This window comes from Homo sapiens, chromosome 14 (assembly GCF_000001405.40).
Source record: "Homo sapiens chromosome 14, GRCh38.p14 Primary Assembly".
Taxonomy (NCBI): Eukaryota; Metazoa; Chordata; class Mammalia; order Primates; family Hominidae; genus Homo; species Homo sapiens.
In genome coordinates, this window is record NC_000014.9 from 76,623,493 (window position 1) to 76,638,336 (window position 14,844).

A 14,844-nucleotide genomic window follows, 5' to 3' on the forward strand; every position below is an offset into this window, starting at 1 on the left:
CAATTGCGGGGACACTGGCTTCCAGAGTTGGGAGAAAAGGCTCACGGTCATTACCAACCTCACTGACATGGGAGTCGGGGCCTGGTGGGAATCCTGGAGCCACGGCTCTCAAGCTGTGAAGCCTGGGACAAGTGACCAAACATCTCTGAGCCTCAGCTTCCTCCTCTGGAAAGAGGACCTCACAGAGATAGGTGTGGTTTTTGTCCTTAATAGTGTCAAGTTGAGGCCCTGGAACCATCTACCTGCTTCTTCTGAGCCAAATAAAGAGAGCCCAGAAATGCAAAAGACCTCAGAGGTGATGGGCCCAGGTTCATCCCCCACCACCAGGAAAAAAAAAAAAGGAAGACAAATAAAATGGCCATTTTAACTTATATCCTCTGCATTAATTTTCACAGTTAACTGCTGAACTGACTAAATTCTTTTCTTTTCTTAAGGACCTTTATAAATTCTATCATTAATAAAATCAGACATTCAATTAGAAGGAAACTCTGATTGGTAACTGATCATTTCCTCAATACCTTTCTCTCCCTCTCATTCTCTGCAAAATCCCTGGATTTTCCCGGACTTTTCCCTGCCGGTGCTCCATTTCCCATTTGTCCCTCTTCTTCCTCCAACGCCTGTCAGCACCCCCAACAAAAGCCAGAGAAGAACAGGGGCTGATTCCATTAACCTCTGTCAATGCTTAAATCTCTCTCTTAATTAACATGAGTTAATATGATTAATCAAAATAATGAGACAAACCTATTAAATTAGGGGACTCAAATGACAGAACTCAGCAGGAGTGGTAAAGGCAGGAGGAGGTGATCAGAAAGGCCAGGTTGGGGGTGGCAAGTGCAGAGGTGAGGAGGGCAGGGCTTTGGGCAGCCAGCCCAGTCCAGCCCAGCCCAGCTCTGGGCTGGTGGAAGATGTGGGCAGTAGCCTGGATAAACTGCCTCTGAGGAGGTGTTCAGTGTTTGTGCCACTCTTGTCTAGTTACAACCAGTCCTTGCACTTTTCTGGGGCCTGCCCAGCTCCTTTCTAGGCACCCCCAGGTTCTGAATTATTAATTTTTTTTAGAGAAGAGGTCTCTCTAGGTTGCACAGGCTATTCTTGAACTCCTGGGCTCAAGCAATCCTCCCATACAGCTGGGATTGCTGGCACACACCACAGTACCCAGCCCTCTCCTATGTTGCCCACGCAGATCTCAAACTCCTGGGCTCAAGCAATCCTCCTGCCTTGGCTTCCTGAGTAGCTAGGATTATAGGCACACACCCCTACACCTAGCTTTGAATTCTTTTTTTTTTTTTTTTACCCTTCTAAGACAGGGTCTCACTCTGTAGCCCAGGCTGGAGTGCAGTGGTGTGATGATAGCTCACTGCACCCTCAAACTCCCAGGCTCAGGTGACCCTCCCAACTCAGCCTCCCAAGTAGCTAGGACTATAGGCATGCGCCACCATGTCCAGCTAATTTTTGAATTTTTTTTGTAGAAATGGGTTTCACCATGTTGCCCAGACTGGTCTGGAACTCCTGACCTCAAGTGATCCACCCACCTCGGTCTCCCAAAGTGCTGGGATTATAGGTGTAAGCTACCGCACCCTGCCTCAGGCAGCCTTCGAATTCTTGATATCGCTGCCTGGGTGATCTCTATCTCCAATGGCTATATCGTCTCCCTCTTGAAGCCAGGCTCTTGGAAATAGCCGCATGTCCTAAAGCAGAATGACTCAAACCCCAGCTCTGACCCCTCACAGGATATGAAACCTGGAGAGAATTATTTTACCTTTGAGGCTCAGTGGACCCACCTGCAGGAATGGGAATAATCATCCTGAGTTTGAATAACTGCTGGAAGAATTCAGAGAAACACTCTGTAGGAATACCTGCCCCAGCACCACGGTGGATCCCCAGGAAATGTTCCTTCCTTCCTTCTTCCCCCGATATGACTAGGCTAACACCTTAAGATTCCACAGTGCTTTTTATTTCTAAGCATTTCCATATATATATCATTCCACCGAAACTCTTAGATAAGCAGACAGACATTATTTACAGATCAGTGAGGTTTTGCAAACATAACTGAGCACCTATTGTGTGTTGGCCACTGAGCAAAATCACCGAGATCCCACAAAGGTGAAGTGGCTTATCCGGGGTCTCTTCCAGACAGACCCGGGTCTCCTAACTCCTAGGACAATGGGATTTCCATTGCCTCAACCCCAAGTAACCAGGAACTCCCATGGTGCCCCGGGGCTCCTTATTTTCACCCTGGATTATTCTCAAGCTGTGGTAGCTTCCACCACATGCAAGTGGTTCCCTCGCCTCCAGCGGCTGAGTTGCTCAATCGGAAGTCCATTCAAAGGAGTACAATGTCTCCCCAACGCAGGACATCTGACATCTCACAGATGACCTGGGCTCATCCTCAGAATTTTGAATTCTAGGAAATCTAGGCCCTTGGAGCCTCTTCTGTGCTACTTCAAATGCTCCCCAGGCAGCAGGGTGGCCCACAGTTACACACCTCTGCAGGCACAGTGCTCAGGTGGAGAAGCTCTTAGGAAAATCCCTGGGGAGAATCCTATTCTGGGCCTGGGACCACCTGACACCGCTATGGAATGATTTTCTCTTTTCACTAGAAGCAGATAAGAGTCACACTAAGATCTAAGGGTACCTTCCCAGAGATGGGCTGAATATTGGCAACGAAGGAGAAAGCGTATCTAAACATCTCCTGCTAAAAGCCCCACTTTCTTTAGATTCATGTTCACATCTTTTTATGTTTCTGTAAAAGAATAAATAGAATCATGCCCCTCATGTCCCAAACGAGGTAAGAGGAGTGACTGGATGACACCACAAGCTCCCAACCCTGTCCTGCCCCTCCCCCACACACAGAGGGTCAGAGCAACCACTCCCCACCTTCCTCTCCAGCCCTAACACTGAGTGGTTTCCCGGTTGTTCTTGAAGAGCTTGGCTGTGCAAAAAACTTTTCCGCATGTACCCATCACTGAATGAGCCAGTCCAGCTCCCGACCCAGGACCCCCCTTCAGACAGCTCAACAACCCACCTTCAGACACAGGGCTGCAGACCGTCATTCCTGAGCAGCAACCCTTGGCATTGCACCTCAAAGGGAACAGAGAGGGAGTGGGTGAGACCCCGGAACTCGTTTTGTCTCCTGGCGTCCTGTGATATCCACTTCACGATGAGGAAAATGATAACGACAATAATATGTAACAAAAACAGCAATAGCAGCCAGGCACAGTGGCTCACACCTGTAATCTCAGTACTTTGGGAGGCCGAGGTGGGAGGGTCACTTGAGGTCGGGATTTCGACACCAGCCTGGCCGACATGGTGAAACCCCATCTCTACTCAAAATACAAAAAATTAGCCTGGTGTGGTGGTGGGCATTGGTAATCCCAGCTAATCGGAAGGCTGAGGCAGGAGAATCACTTGACCCTGGGAGGCAGAGATTGCAGTGAGCAGAGATCACACCACTGCACTCCAGCCTGGGCAACAGAGCAAGACTCCATCTCAAAAACAAAAAAACAGCAATAGCTATTTGTATTGTATATGTACTGCTATTTAATATATAGCAATAGCTATATATATCTATTAATATGTAGCAATAGCTATATATATATCTATATATATATAGATAGATAGATAGATATATAGCTCTGTTGCCCAGGCTGGAGTGCAGTGGTGCGATCTCGGCTCACTGCAACCTCTGCCTCTCCTGCCTCAGCCTCCTGAGTAGCTGGAATTACAGGTGCCTCACACCATGCCCGGCTAATTTTTTTATTTTTAGTAAAGACAGGGTTTTGCCATGCTGGCCCAGCTGATCTCGAACTCCTGACCTCAAGTCATCCAGCCACCTTGGCCTCCCAAAGTGCTGGGATTACAGGCATGAGCCACCACACCCAGCCTCCCACTTTTCGGAATTGGATCCATCAACTCTCCTGTTTCTCCTCTTTGTCCATTTTGTGTCTTTAATCTCTTTCTCTTCTCTGGAATCTCCCCCCTTAACCCTGAGTATCCATCATCCCTAAAATAAAATCCACAGCTGCGTGTAACAAAAAACCCAACCAAAATGCTTTAAACAATCGTAAACTGTATTATCTCTCATTAGTGAGAAGCCTGGGTCTCAGGCAGTCTCCAGTGGCTGTCAGGAGCAGGGTCAGCACTCTGTCCTCACATGGCTTCCCTCGTGATGGTTATACGGTGGCCAGCAGCATCACGGCCACACATTTCCTTATTCAGAAAAACTGTTCCCTCGATCAGTCTGATTGGACCATGAAGTCAAGTGCCCATTCCTGGACAATAAATCAGTGGCCAGGGGAACACCCCGCACTGATGGACCTAAGCCAGTGTTCCTAAGCCAATCAATGGCAAAGAGGCATAGAATTGCTGAGATTGGCTTAATCAGCATCCATCCCGGCAACTCTGAGTCAAAAAGGTTTCATTGGAGTGGGACAAAAACCTTAACAAAACTGGGGTTCTGTTAGGAAGTAAGAAGTGAGAGAACAGGGGCTTGGAAGACAAGAAACAGCTGTACCACTCCACTTTCTTCTACTCCCTCTACTGCCCTCTCTCCTTCTCCTAACCCCCACCCTCCTTTAAGAGCCACTGCATTGGCTGTCATTGCTAACCAGTGCACTGCTTCAGATCCCCACCCTTCCACTCTACTAGAAGTGCACTTGCAAATATCAGTGGTGTCCTAATTTGGACTCTGTGGGCTTTGACACCTCCAATTCCCTTCTTTACCCTCTCCATCCATCACCCTACTCATGACCTTCAGATGATCAAGACATCCTCTTCCATAACATGCTCCCCATCACTCATCAATGTTTATTCCACAAACATGTTTTGAGCATCTACCATTCTGCACCTAATACTTTGCAAATTACTCTGGAATGCACAGTTTAGTTGTGTCATTGTTCACTGCAACAATTGCAATAACTTCCTAACCAGCCACTCTGCCTCCAGTCTCTCTCCACCCACAATCTGTCTTCCTTGCTCACAAGGGTAATCTTTCCAAATGCAAGTCTGATCATCATACTACCCCGCTTGCATTTCTCCTACAGGAGAAAGCCTAAAGTCCCCAGCATGGCATTTAAGCACGGCCATGGCACCCAGGCCCCACCAGCCTCTCCTAGGGTGTAGCCCATCCTTTCTACTCTTATAATGTCAGCTCTGAGAATAAAGAACTACTATTTTCCAAGCAGATCATGAGCTTTCTTAATTTGGAGTTTTGCTCATACTTTCTTCTTAACTAAAATGCCTTCCCTTGATTTTTCTGTTAGGAAAAACCCTACATTTTTCAAAACCCAGGCTTCATGAGACCTTCTCAGTAAATTCTTCTCCAAGGCTGAATGAAGCATGTCCTCTGTGGTTCCATGTCAATCATAAGCAATTCTCATGGCATATTACTATTAGGTTTATACTCGTGAATTCTTACAGGGGAAGGACAGGATCTAATTCACCATTCTGTACGAAGCACAAATACCTGGCAATGCACGCTCAATATATGTTTGAAGAACTAAAGTGAGCCAAGCGCGGTGGCTCACGCCTGTAATCCCAGCACTTTGGGAGGCAGAGGCTGGTGGGTCACGAGGTCAGGAGTTTGAGACCAGCCTGGCCAACATGGTGAAACCCCATCTCTACTAAAAATACAAAAATTAGCTGCACGTTGTGGCCCATGCCTGTAGTCCCTGCTACTCAGGAGGCAGGAGAATCGCTTGAACCTGGGAGGCGGAGGTTGCAATGAGCCGAGATCGCGCCACTGCACTCCAGCCTGGGTGACAGAGTGACACTCTGTCTCAAAAAAAAAAAAAAACTAAAGTGAGCCACTTATTTCAACCTCCTCTCTTCTCAGACAGGGAACCTGAGGGTAAAAGAGGAAGTGACTGACAATGGTTACTCTGTGTGTTTAATCAGTGTTCTGTCAGTTCAAGTAGGAAAAAAAAAAGTCTTAAACAAAAAAGGAATTTATTTGGTGCACTGAATTTAACTGTCTCTCCTCAGGCACAATTTCAATCTAAAGATTCGAGAAGTATCATCAAGACCTAATTCTCAGCTCCACTTTCCTCTTTATCGGCTTCATTCTCTGGTTCTGTATCAGAACAAAATGGCTGCCAAGAGCTCCCGCCTAAATTCCCCCACCTCCCTACCCCAGTTCATATCAGTGGAAAGAGAATGTCTTTTTGTGGTCATGTAAGCAAAAGTCCCAACGTTTTTTCTGATTGTGACTTGAGTCACATGCAATGGCCTGATTGGCAGGTTGCAGGTCACATGTTCATCCATGCATCTTTGGGCAGTCAACACCATCAAGCATGTGAACTGAGAATGGGAGAGGAATGATTCCCTCTAGATTAATGCTGTCCAATAGAACGTTCTGTGGTGAGTTCATGGAAAGTTCACAGAGCGCAGCTTGGGTGGCATCTCTGTGGCCATATTATTATTCTGAGTCTCAGAGTTTCTAAAGCTACAGAATACAGGAGATGTCTCTTTCCCTCCCTCTCTCCCTGCCTCCCTTTCTGTCTTCCTTCCTTCTTTCCTTCCATCCTTCCATTAGCCATACCATGGGCACCTCCTAGGTATAATTTTCTACGCTAGATACCTTACATTATTGATTCATGTATTCATTCACACATTCATTAAATATCTTTTATACACCAAGCGTTCAGCTCTAGGAATTAAAATCTGAACAAGAAAGACAGGTTCCCTCCTGGAAAGTAAGACAACACTGAGTAACTATTTACCAATACTACAGGCATTAGGAAGGGAGAGGACAAGACAGTGGTCTTCGGCATGTCTAGAGGAAGCCTCGGTGACATTAACCTGAGACTAGAGGAGGAAGAGTGAGGGGCTGGGTGAGGGGGTGTGGTCCGGGCAGAGGGACAGCAAGGGGCAATAAAGGGTTGGAAGCAGAGGTGTGACGTGCTCAGGTTTGCATCTTAAAAAGATCCCTCTGGGAATTATGCTAGCAAAAAAAGCCAGTCCCCAAAGATTCCATACTGTATGATTCCATTTATATAACATTCTTCAAGTGACAAAATTACAGAAATGGAGAACAGATTAGTGGTTGCCGTGGTCAAAGATGGGGTGAGATAGAAGGAGAAGAGTTTGGCTTATAAAAGGGCAGCATGAGCTGTTATGGACTGAATGCTTGTGCCCCCCACCCCCGAAATTCATATGCAGAAGCCCTAACCCCCAATATGCCTCTATTGGAGACAGGGTCTGTGAGTAGGTGACAAAGGTTAAAAGGGGTCATAATAGTGGGGCCCTAATCCAATGGGGCTGGTGCCTTTATTAAAGAGGAAGACACACCAGCGTTCTCCCTCTCCATCATGTGAGAACACAGCGAGAAGGTGGCCATCTGCGAGCCAGAAAAGGGTCCTCACCAGGAACTGAATTAGCCAGCACCCTGAACTTGAACTCCTAGCCTCCAGAACTATGAGAAATAAATATCTACTGTTTAAGACACTCAGTCTGTGGTATTTTGTTATGGCAGCCCGGGCCAACAAATATACTAGTGTCATGGGTTGAATAGTATCCTCCCAAAATTCACATCCACCTAGAACCTCAGATATGACCTTGCTTGCAGATGTAGTTAACACAAGGATCTCAAGATGAGATCTTTCTAGATTAAGATGAGCCCTAAATCCAATGACTGATATCCTTATAGAAAGAGAAGGGAACATGCACAGAGAGACAGGGAGAAGAAAGGAGGTGGAGATGCCGGCAGAGATTGGAGTTATGCTGGTATGAACAAAGGAATGCCGGGAGCCACCCAAAGCTGGAAGGGATAGGAAAGGTTCTCCCCGAGAGCCTTCAGAGAGAGGATGGCCCTGCCAACACTTTGATTTCAGACTTCTGGCCTCCAAAACGGTGAGAATAAATGTCTTATTGTCTTAAGCCACCACGTTTACGGTCATTTCTTACAGCAGGCCTAGAAAACTCATACAACAAAGGACCGATGTGCCACCAGAACTGTTTTTTATTTTATCAATGTTGATATCCTGGTAGTGATATTATACTGTAGTTTTGCAAGATGTTACTATTGAGGGAAACAGGGTGAAGGGTACATGGGAGCTCTTTGTATCATTTCTCACAACTGCATGTGAATCTACAATTATCTCAAAATAAAAAGTTTAATTAAAAAAATTTCCTCTGGGAGCCATGTGGTAAACGGAGAGGAAGCTGAGAGACCAGTTGGTGCCATTGAAGTCATTCATGGGCAAGATAATAGCAGGTAGGCCAGGTGGTTACCAAGGAGACAGAGAGAAGAGGATGGGTTGGGGAGAAAGTTAGAAGGTTGAAGTGACAGCACTTGGGGACCAACTTGGTGATGGGAGTGGAGGAGTAAGAGGTGTCCATGATGACTCTGGCTCGTACAGCAAAAGTATGATGGTGGCTTTAACAGAGGCCTCTGAGCAAAGAGCAGATTTGGGGAGAAAAGAATGGGAACCACAGCATGTTTCAGACAGAACAGTTCAAATAACCAGGCTATCCAGCTTCCTCTCAGAAATGGCCATCTGACCTCATTCTGTCTTTATCTCACATTTTTACTCCACAAAAGAGATTCTAATTGAGTCAGTTTCCTACATTCCAACACGGAGCAGGGCAGCCATGTGCCAGGCTACCTCCTGGGCCCCTCTTGTGATCACTGTATACTTGTCTTCTTTTCCTTGGAAACTGATCCTTGGTCTCAAGGCACAAGACATGGCCACTTCATTCAGATAGACTGAGACTGTGGTATGGCAAGAACTTAGAGTTTCAGGTGTCTCCAATACAGCCAGTGGAGCTTAGCAGAGATGGTCGAGGATGGAGGAAGATTGCTCCTAAAAAAATCTCTCAACTCAATGCCCAAGCAAAGAAGGAAGACCAAGCCGGGCACAGTGGCTCATGCCTGTAATCCCAGCACTTTGGGAGGCTGAGGCAGGTGGATCACGCGGTCAGGAGTTCAAGACCATCCTGGCCAAGATGGTGAAACCCCGTCTCTACTAAAAATACAAAAAATTAGCCACCTGTGGTGGCAGGCGCCTGTAATCCCAGCTACTCGGGAGACTGAGGCACAGTATTGCTTGAACCCAGGATGCGGAGCTTCCAGTGAGCCGAGATCGTGCCACTGCACTCCAGCCTGAGCGACAGAGTGAGACTCCGTCTCAAAAAAAAAAAAAAAGGAAAACCAGAACTCTTCACATCAACTCTAGCTTTGTTTTCTGAGGAGAGGGAAGGTTGGAGGAGTCTTTCAGAACAAAGTTGGAGGACTAACACAGCCTGATCTCATAGCTCATCATAAAGCTACAGTAATCAGAATAGTATGATATTGGCATCAATATAGACAAATAAATTTGCGAAATAGAATAGAGAATCCAGAAATAGACCCACACACATGATCAACTGATTTTTGAAAAAGACGTAAAGGCAATTCAGCGGAAAGAGTATAGTCTTTTCAACAAATGCTGCTGGAACAACTGAATATTCATATGGAAAAAGTTGAACTTCGACATATACCTTACACCATATACAAAAACAAACTCAAAATTGATCATAGAATGAAATGTTAAACCTAAATCTATAAAACTTTAAAAGAACGCATAAGTGAAAAGCTTTTGTGATCTTGGGTTAGGCAAAGATTTTTTAGGTAAGACATTAAAAGCACAATCCATAAAAGATTATGTTGGAATCTGTCAAAATTTAAAACTTCTGGGCCGGGCGCCATGGCTCATGCCTATAATCCCAGCACTTTGGGAGGCCGAGGTGGGTGGATCACAAGGTCAGGAGATCGAGACCATCCTGGTGAACACGGTGAAACCCCGTCTCTACTAAAAAATACAAAAAATTAACCGGGAGTAGTGGCGGGCGCCTGTGGTCCCAGCTACTCAGGAGGGTGAGGCAGGAGAATGGCATGAACCTGGGAGGCGGAGCCTGCAGTGAGCCCAGATCACACCACTGCATCCAGCCTGGGCAAGAGAGCGAGACTCCATCTCAAAAAAAAAAAAAAAAAAAAAAAAAAAATTCTGGTCTTTGAAAGTCTTTTTTTTTTTTTAATTATTATACTTTAAGTTTTAGGGTACATGTGCACAATGTGCAGGTTAGTTACATATGAAAGTCTTTTAAGAGAGTGAAGAGGCAAGCCACATGCTGGGAAAAAATATTTGTGATCTTAATATCTGATAAAAGATATGTATCTAGAGAGTGGGACGTCCGGCTTCAGAATGGGAACCTTCGTTGCCCCAGCGATGAAACAGAGAATTAAATATGAGTGATGCTGAGAAAGGCAAGATTTTTGTTCAGAAGTGTGCCCAGTGCCACACTGTGGAAAAGTGAGGCCAGCACAAGACTAGGCCTAATCTCCATGGTCTCTTCGGGCGGAAGACAGGTCAGGCTGCTGTATTCTCTTACACAGATGCCAGTAAGAACAAAGGCATCACGTGGGGAGAGGATACCCTGATGGAGTATTTGGAGACTCCCAAGAAGTACATCCCTGGAACAAAAGTGATCTTTGCCGGCATTAAGAAGAAGACAGAAAGGGCAGACTTGATAGCTTATCTCAAAAAAGCTACTATTGAGTAATAATGGGTCACTGCCTTATTAATTACAAAACAGAAATGTTTCATGACTTTTTTATGTGGACTATAATAGATCTCATACACCAGAATTCAGATCATGAATGACTGACAGAATATTCTGTTGGGCAGTCCTGACTTAAAACTAAGGCTGGCTTGTGGTTAAATGAGTATGTTCAGTTTTTGAATGTTAATAGTAATTCCAATTCAGTAAATGCTATCACTGTTTACCCCTTCTAAAGATATGATTAGACTTCATTAGTAGTGTTCAACTTTTCACAAAGATGGTGAATGCCATCTTAAAACTCACTGGAGATTGGTTTTATATTTAGATTTCTATAACTGGTTATGTGAATATATTTAAATACTGGGGAAATTCCTTCACTGTCTCAGAACCAAGCAAGATTCACCTGTGTTTTGTGTTCATTTGCCTCTTAAAGGCAAGAGTTGAAGATAAATAAGGGAGCAATGTCTACTTTATATTTTTGGCCTTAACTGTGCCAATCTAATTAGAATTCTCTGTATTTAAAATGGTTCTTTTTACTTATTGAAAGGCATTTTAGTGTGGTTTATGTGTAATATCAAAGATTATTTAACACTTCTCACATTTTATAGATGCTCTACAAGGTCACATGCTTTTAAAATAGTAGCAAGTTAAACTTCACTCTTTTTTTTTTTTTTTTTTTTAGAAACTGATGTTTATTTTCCATTAACCATTTTTCCATGTTGCTTAAGAGCCTATGCAAGAACAGCTTAAGACCATTCAGTGGTTGCTCCTACCCATTCAGTGGCCTGAGCAGTGGGAGCTGCAGACCAGTCTTCTATGGCAGGCTGAGCGCTCCAGTCTTCAGTAGGGAACTGCTGAATAGGCACAGAGGGCACCTGCACACCTTCAGACCAGTCTGCAACCTCAGGCCGAGTAGCAGTGAACTCAGGAGCTGGAGCAGTCCATTCACCCTGAAATTCCTCCTCGGTCACTGCCTTTTCAGCAGCAGCCTACTCTTCTTTTTCAATCTCTCCAGGATCTCTGTAGAAGTAGAGATCAGGCATGACCTCCCATGGGTGTTCACGGGAAATGGTGCCATGCATGCGCAGAACTTCCCAAGCCAGCATCCACCACATCAAACCCACTGAGTGAGCTCCCTTGCTGTTGCATGGGATGGCAATGTCCACATAGCACAGAGGAGAATCTGTGTTACACAGAGCAATGGTAGGTAGGTTAACTTAAGATGCCTCTGTGAGAGGCTGGTGGTCAGCCCTGGGATCAGTAACCACAAGAAGCCGTGGCTCCCAGAAGGCTGCCTGGATCTCGTTAGTGAAGGTTCCAGGAGTGAAGCGGCCAGCAATTGGAGTGGCTCCAGTGGCAGCAGCAAACTTCAGCACAGCCCTCTGGCCAGTATTCCTGGAGGATTTAACACTGACATGAGCAGGGTTTTCAATGGCAACAACAGCACAAGCTGCCAGAGAAGCTTCTCCCAGGTCCTCTTCAGATTTATGATATAGATGCCATCACTTTTCCTTTTATAGATGTACTGTTCCATCTGGAAGTCAAGATTGGTGCTACCTAAGTGGGTTCCTGCTGCAAGGAACTTAAGGACATCCTCCTCCTTCATCTGCAGGACATCAAGGGCTCCGGACATTGTGAAAGTTTCCCTTTAAGTTATGACGGGAATCCAGAACAACGCCGTATGGATCCCTCTGCAGGTAGCACGGAAAGGAAACTTCACTCTTTAATTTTTTACAATCTAAGCCAAACTAAGTTATAATTTAGGATTGTCGGGGGGGTTTTTTTATTTGTTTTTGTTTTTGAGACAGAGTTTTGCTCTTGCTGCCCAGGCTGGAGTGCAATGGCACGACCTCGGCTCACTGCAACCTCCACCTCCTGGATTCAAACTATTCTCCTGCCTCAGACTCCTGAGTAGCTGGAATTACAAGCATATGCCACCATGCCAAGCTAATTTTGTATTTTTAGTAGAGATGGGGTTTCTGCAGGTTGGTCAGGCTGGTCTTGAATTCCCGACCTCAGGTGATCCACCCACCTTGGCCTCCCAAAGTGCTGAGATTACAGGCATGAGCCACCGCACCCATTCAGAAACATAAAACTGTAGAACTGCTGTATATTTGTGATTGGAAGTGGTGCTTTTGCCAACTTAAAAGGATTAAAGTAGAGGAGATACACACAAATTTTAAAATTATGTGTGATCATAAGCTTAAGATAATTAAAAAGAAAACCACAGATTAAAGAAAGGATACGTATCTAGAACAAAGACCTTTCAAAGCTCAATAAAAAGAAAACAAAGAACACAATTTTTCAAATGGGCAAAAGATTTGAACAGATGTTTCAGTAAAGAAGATATAAAAATGGCAAATAAACACATGAAAAGATGCTTAACATTATCAGTCATCAGAAAATGCAAGTTAAAGCCACGTATGTATTAGAATATCTAAATGTGAAGGGCTGAGCACATCAAATGTTCACAAAAATGTGGAACAAGTGTGGAACAAGTGGAACTCCCACACACTGTTGGTGGGCATATATAATGGTAGAACCAGTTTGAAAAACAGTTTGGCACTTTCTAAAATAAAAAACAAAAAAAAATACTTGATAAATGATCCAGCCATTCTACTCCTAGATATTTGCACAAAAGAAATAAAAACATGTGTTAATACCAAAATGTATATGTGAATGCTCATAGACACTTTATTTGTAATAACCAAAAACTGCAAAATCCCCAAATGTCATCAACAGGTGAATTGATAAACATTTGGTATATCCATATAGTGGAATACCACACAGCAATGAAAAGGAATTGGTTATTGATGCATACTAAGATGAATCACAAAGTAATTATGCTGGATGAAAGAATAAGACAAAAAAGAATATGTATGGTATGATTTCAATGATCAAAAAATTCTGGAAAAGGCAAACTAGTATTTAGTGATGAGAAGCAGATGAACAGTTGCCAGGAGATGGAGTGAGGAGGGGAATGGGTGAGGAGTGATTACAAAGGGGCACTAGGGGGTGACAATGCATATGTTTATTATCTAGATTGTGGTGTTTAAATATGTCAAAACTTGTCAAATTGTACATTTTAAATGTGTTATTTTTGTATGTCAATTATACCTCAATAAAATCCTCTTTTTAAAAAGGAATCCAGGACAGGTGCTGTGGCTCATGCCTGTAATCCCAGCACTTTGGGAGGCCAAGGCAAGTGGATCACGAGGTCAGGAGTTCAAGACCAGCCTGGCCAAGATGGTCAAACCCCGTCACCACTAAAAATACAAAAATTAGCCAGGTGTGGTGGCGGGTGCCTGCAATCCCAGCTACTCAGGAGGCTGAGGCAGAGAATTGCTTGAACCTGGGAGGCAGAGGTTGCAGTGAGCCAAGACTGCACCACTGCACTCCAGCCTGGGCAACAGAGCGAGGCTCCGTTTCAAAAAAAAAAAATGGAATCCAGGGGAAAAGCAGTGCCTTTCTTCCCTTGTGTGTTCCCTGCCCTCTCCTCATCTTTCACAGAGCCCATCTGCTTCTGAAAAGTAGGAGCTATGCTTTCTTCTCCCACAAGCCATTCACTTATAAAAAGCAGTCTTGTGGGGGATGAGCTCAGCTGGGTGAGAGGAAGAAGACTGGCAAAAGAGTCATCATCAAAGTCAAGGCAATTCTTTTTTTTTTTTTTTTTTTTTGAGACAGGGTCTTGTTCTGTCACCCAGACTGGAGTGCAGTGGTTCACTCCGGGCTCCAGTGATCCTCCCACCTCAGCCTCCTGAATAGTTGGCACCACAGGTACATGCCACCACGCCCAGCTAATTTTATGTGTGCGTGTATGGAGAGAGACAGGGGTCTCGCTATGTTGCCTAGGCTGGTCTTAAACTCCTGGGCTCAAGCAGTCTTCCTGCCTCAGCCTCTCAAAGTGCTGAGATTACAGGCATGAGGCACCACGCCTGGCCAAGGCAATTCCTTAGCAGTCATTGTTCCAATGTGACCAAGTGCCCAAAGAAACAGGAAGGGACTACACAATTATAATGCAGACAGTAAGTCTCTGCAATCAGACAGATCTGGGTATAAATTCTGGCTCCATGACTTAGCAAGTTTTTGATTCCTAACCTCTTTAAACCTCTGTTTCCTCATTTGCAAAATGGGATCATATGCCACACAAAGGATGCCAGGAGATTAAGTGAGGTTCTATTTACAAAGAGATTAAGTGAGGTTCTATCTACATCAGCCAGGCACAGAGTAAAGGCTTCCTCTACCTGGGAGACAGCATCTAGACAAGGAAGAGCACAGAATCCAAAAAAGAAAATTCTGAGTTCTAGT

The 14,844-nt window shown here is 44.8% G+C and overlaps 2 pseudogenes, besides 1 other annotated feature; one reads left to right on the forward strand and one right to left on the reverse strand.

Moving 5' to 3' along the window:
- Positions 5,800 to 6,000: a silencer, noted in NCBI's record as "peak2203 fragment used in MPRA reporter construct". NCBI's record gives its function as "represses an SCP1 promoter by STARR-seq MPRAs in K562 erythroleukemia cells {active_cell/tissue: K562}" and the evidence as "EXISTENCE:reporter gene assay evidence [ECO:0000049][PMID:32103011]".
- CYCSP1 (CYCS pseudogene 1) lies at positions 10,154 to 10,836 on the forward strand (annotated as a pseudogene).
- Positions 11,213 to 12,245, reverse strand: RPSAP3 (ribosomal protein SA pseudogene 3; annotated as a pseudogene).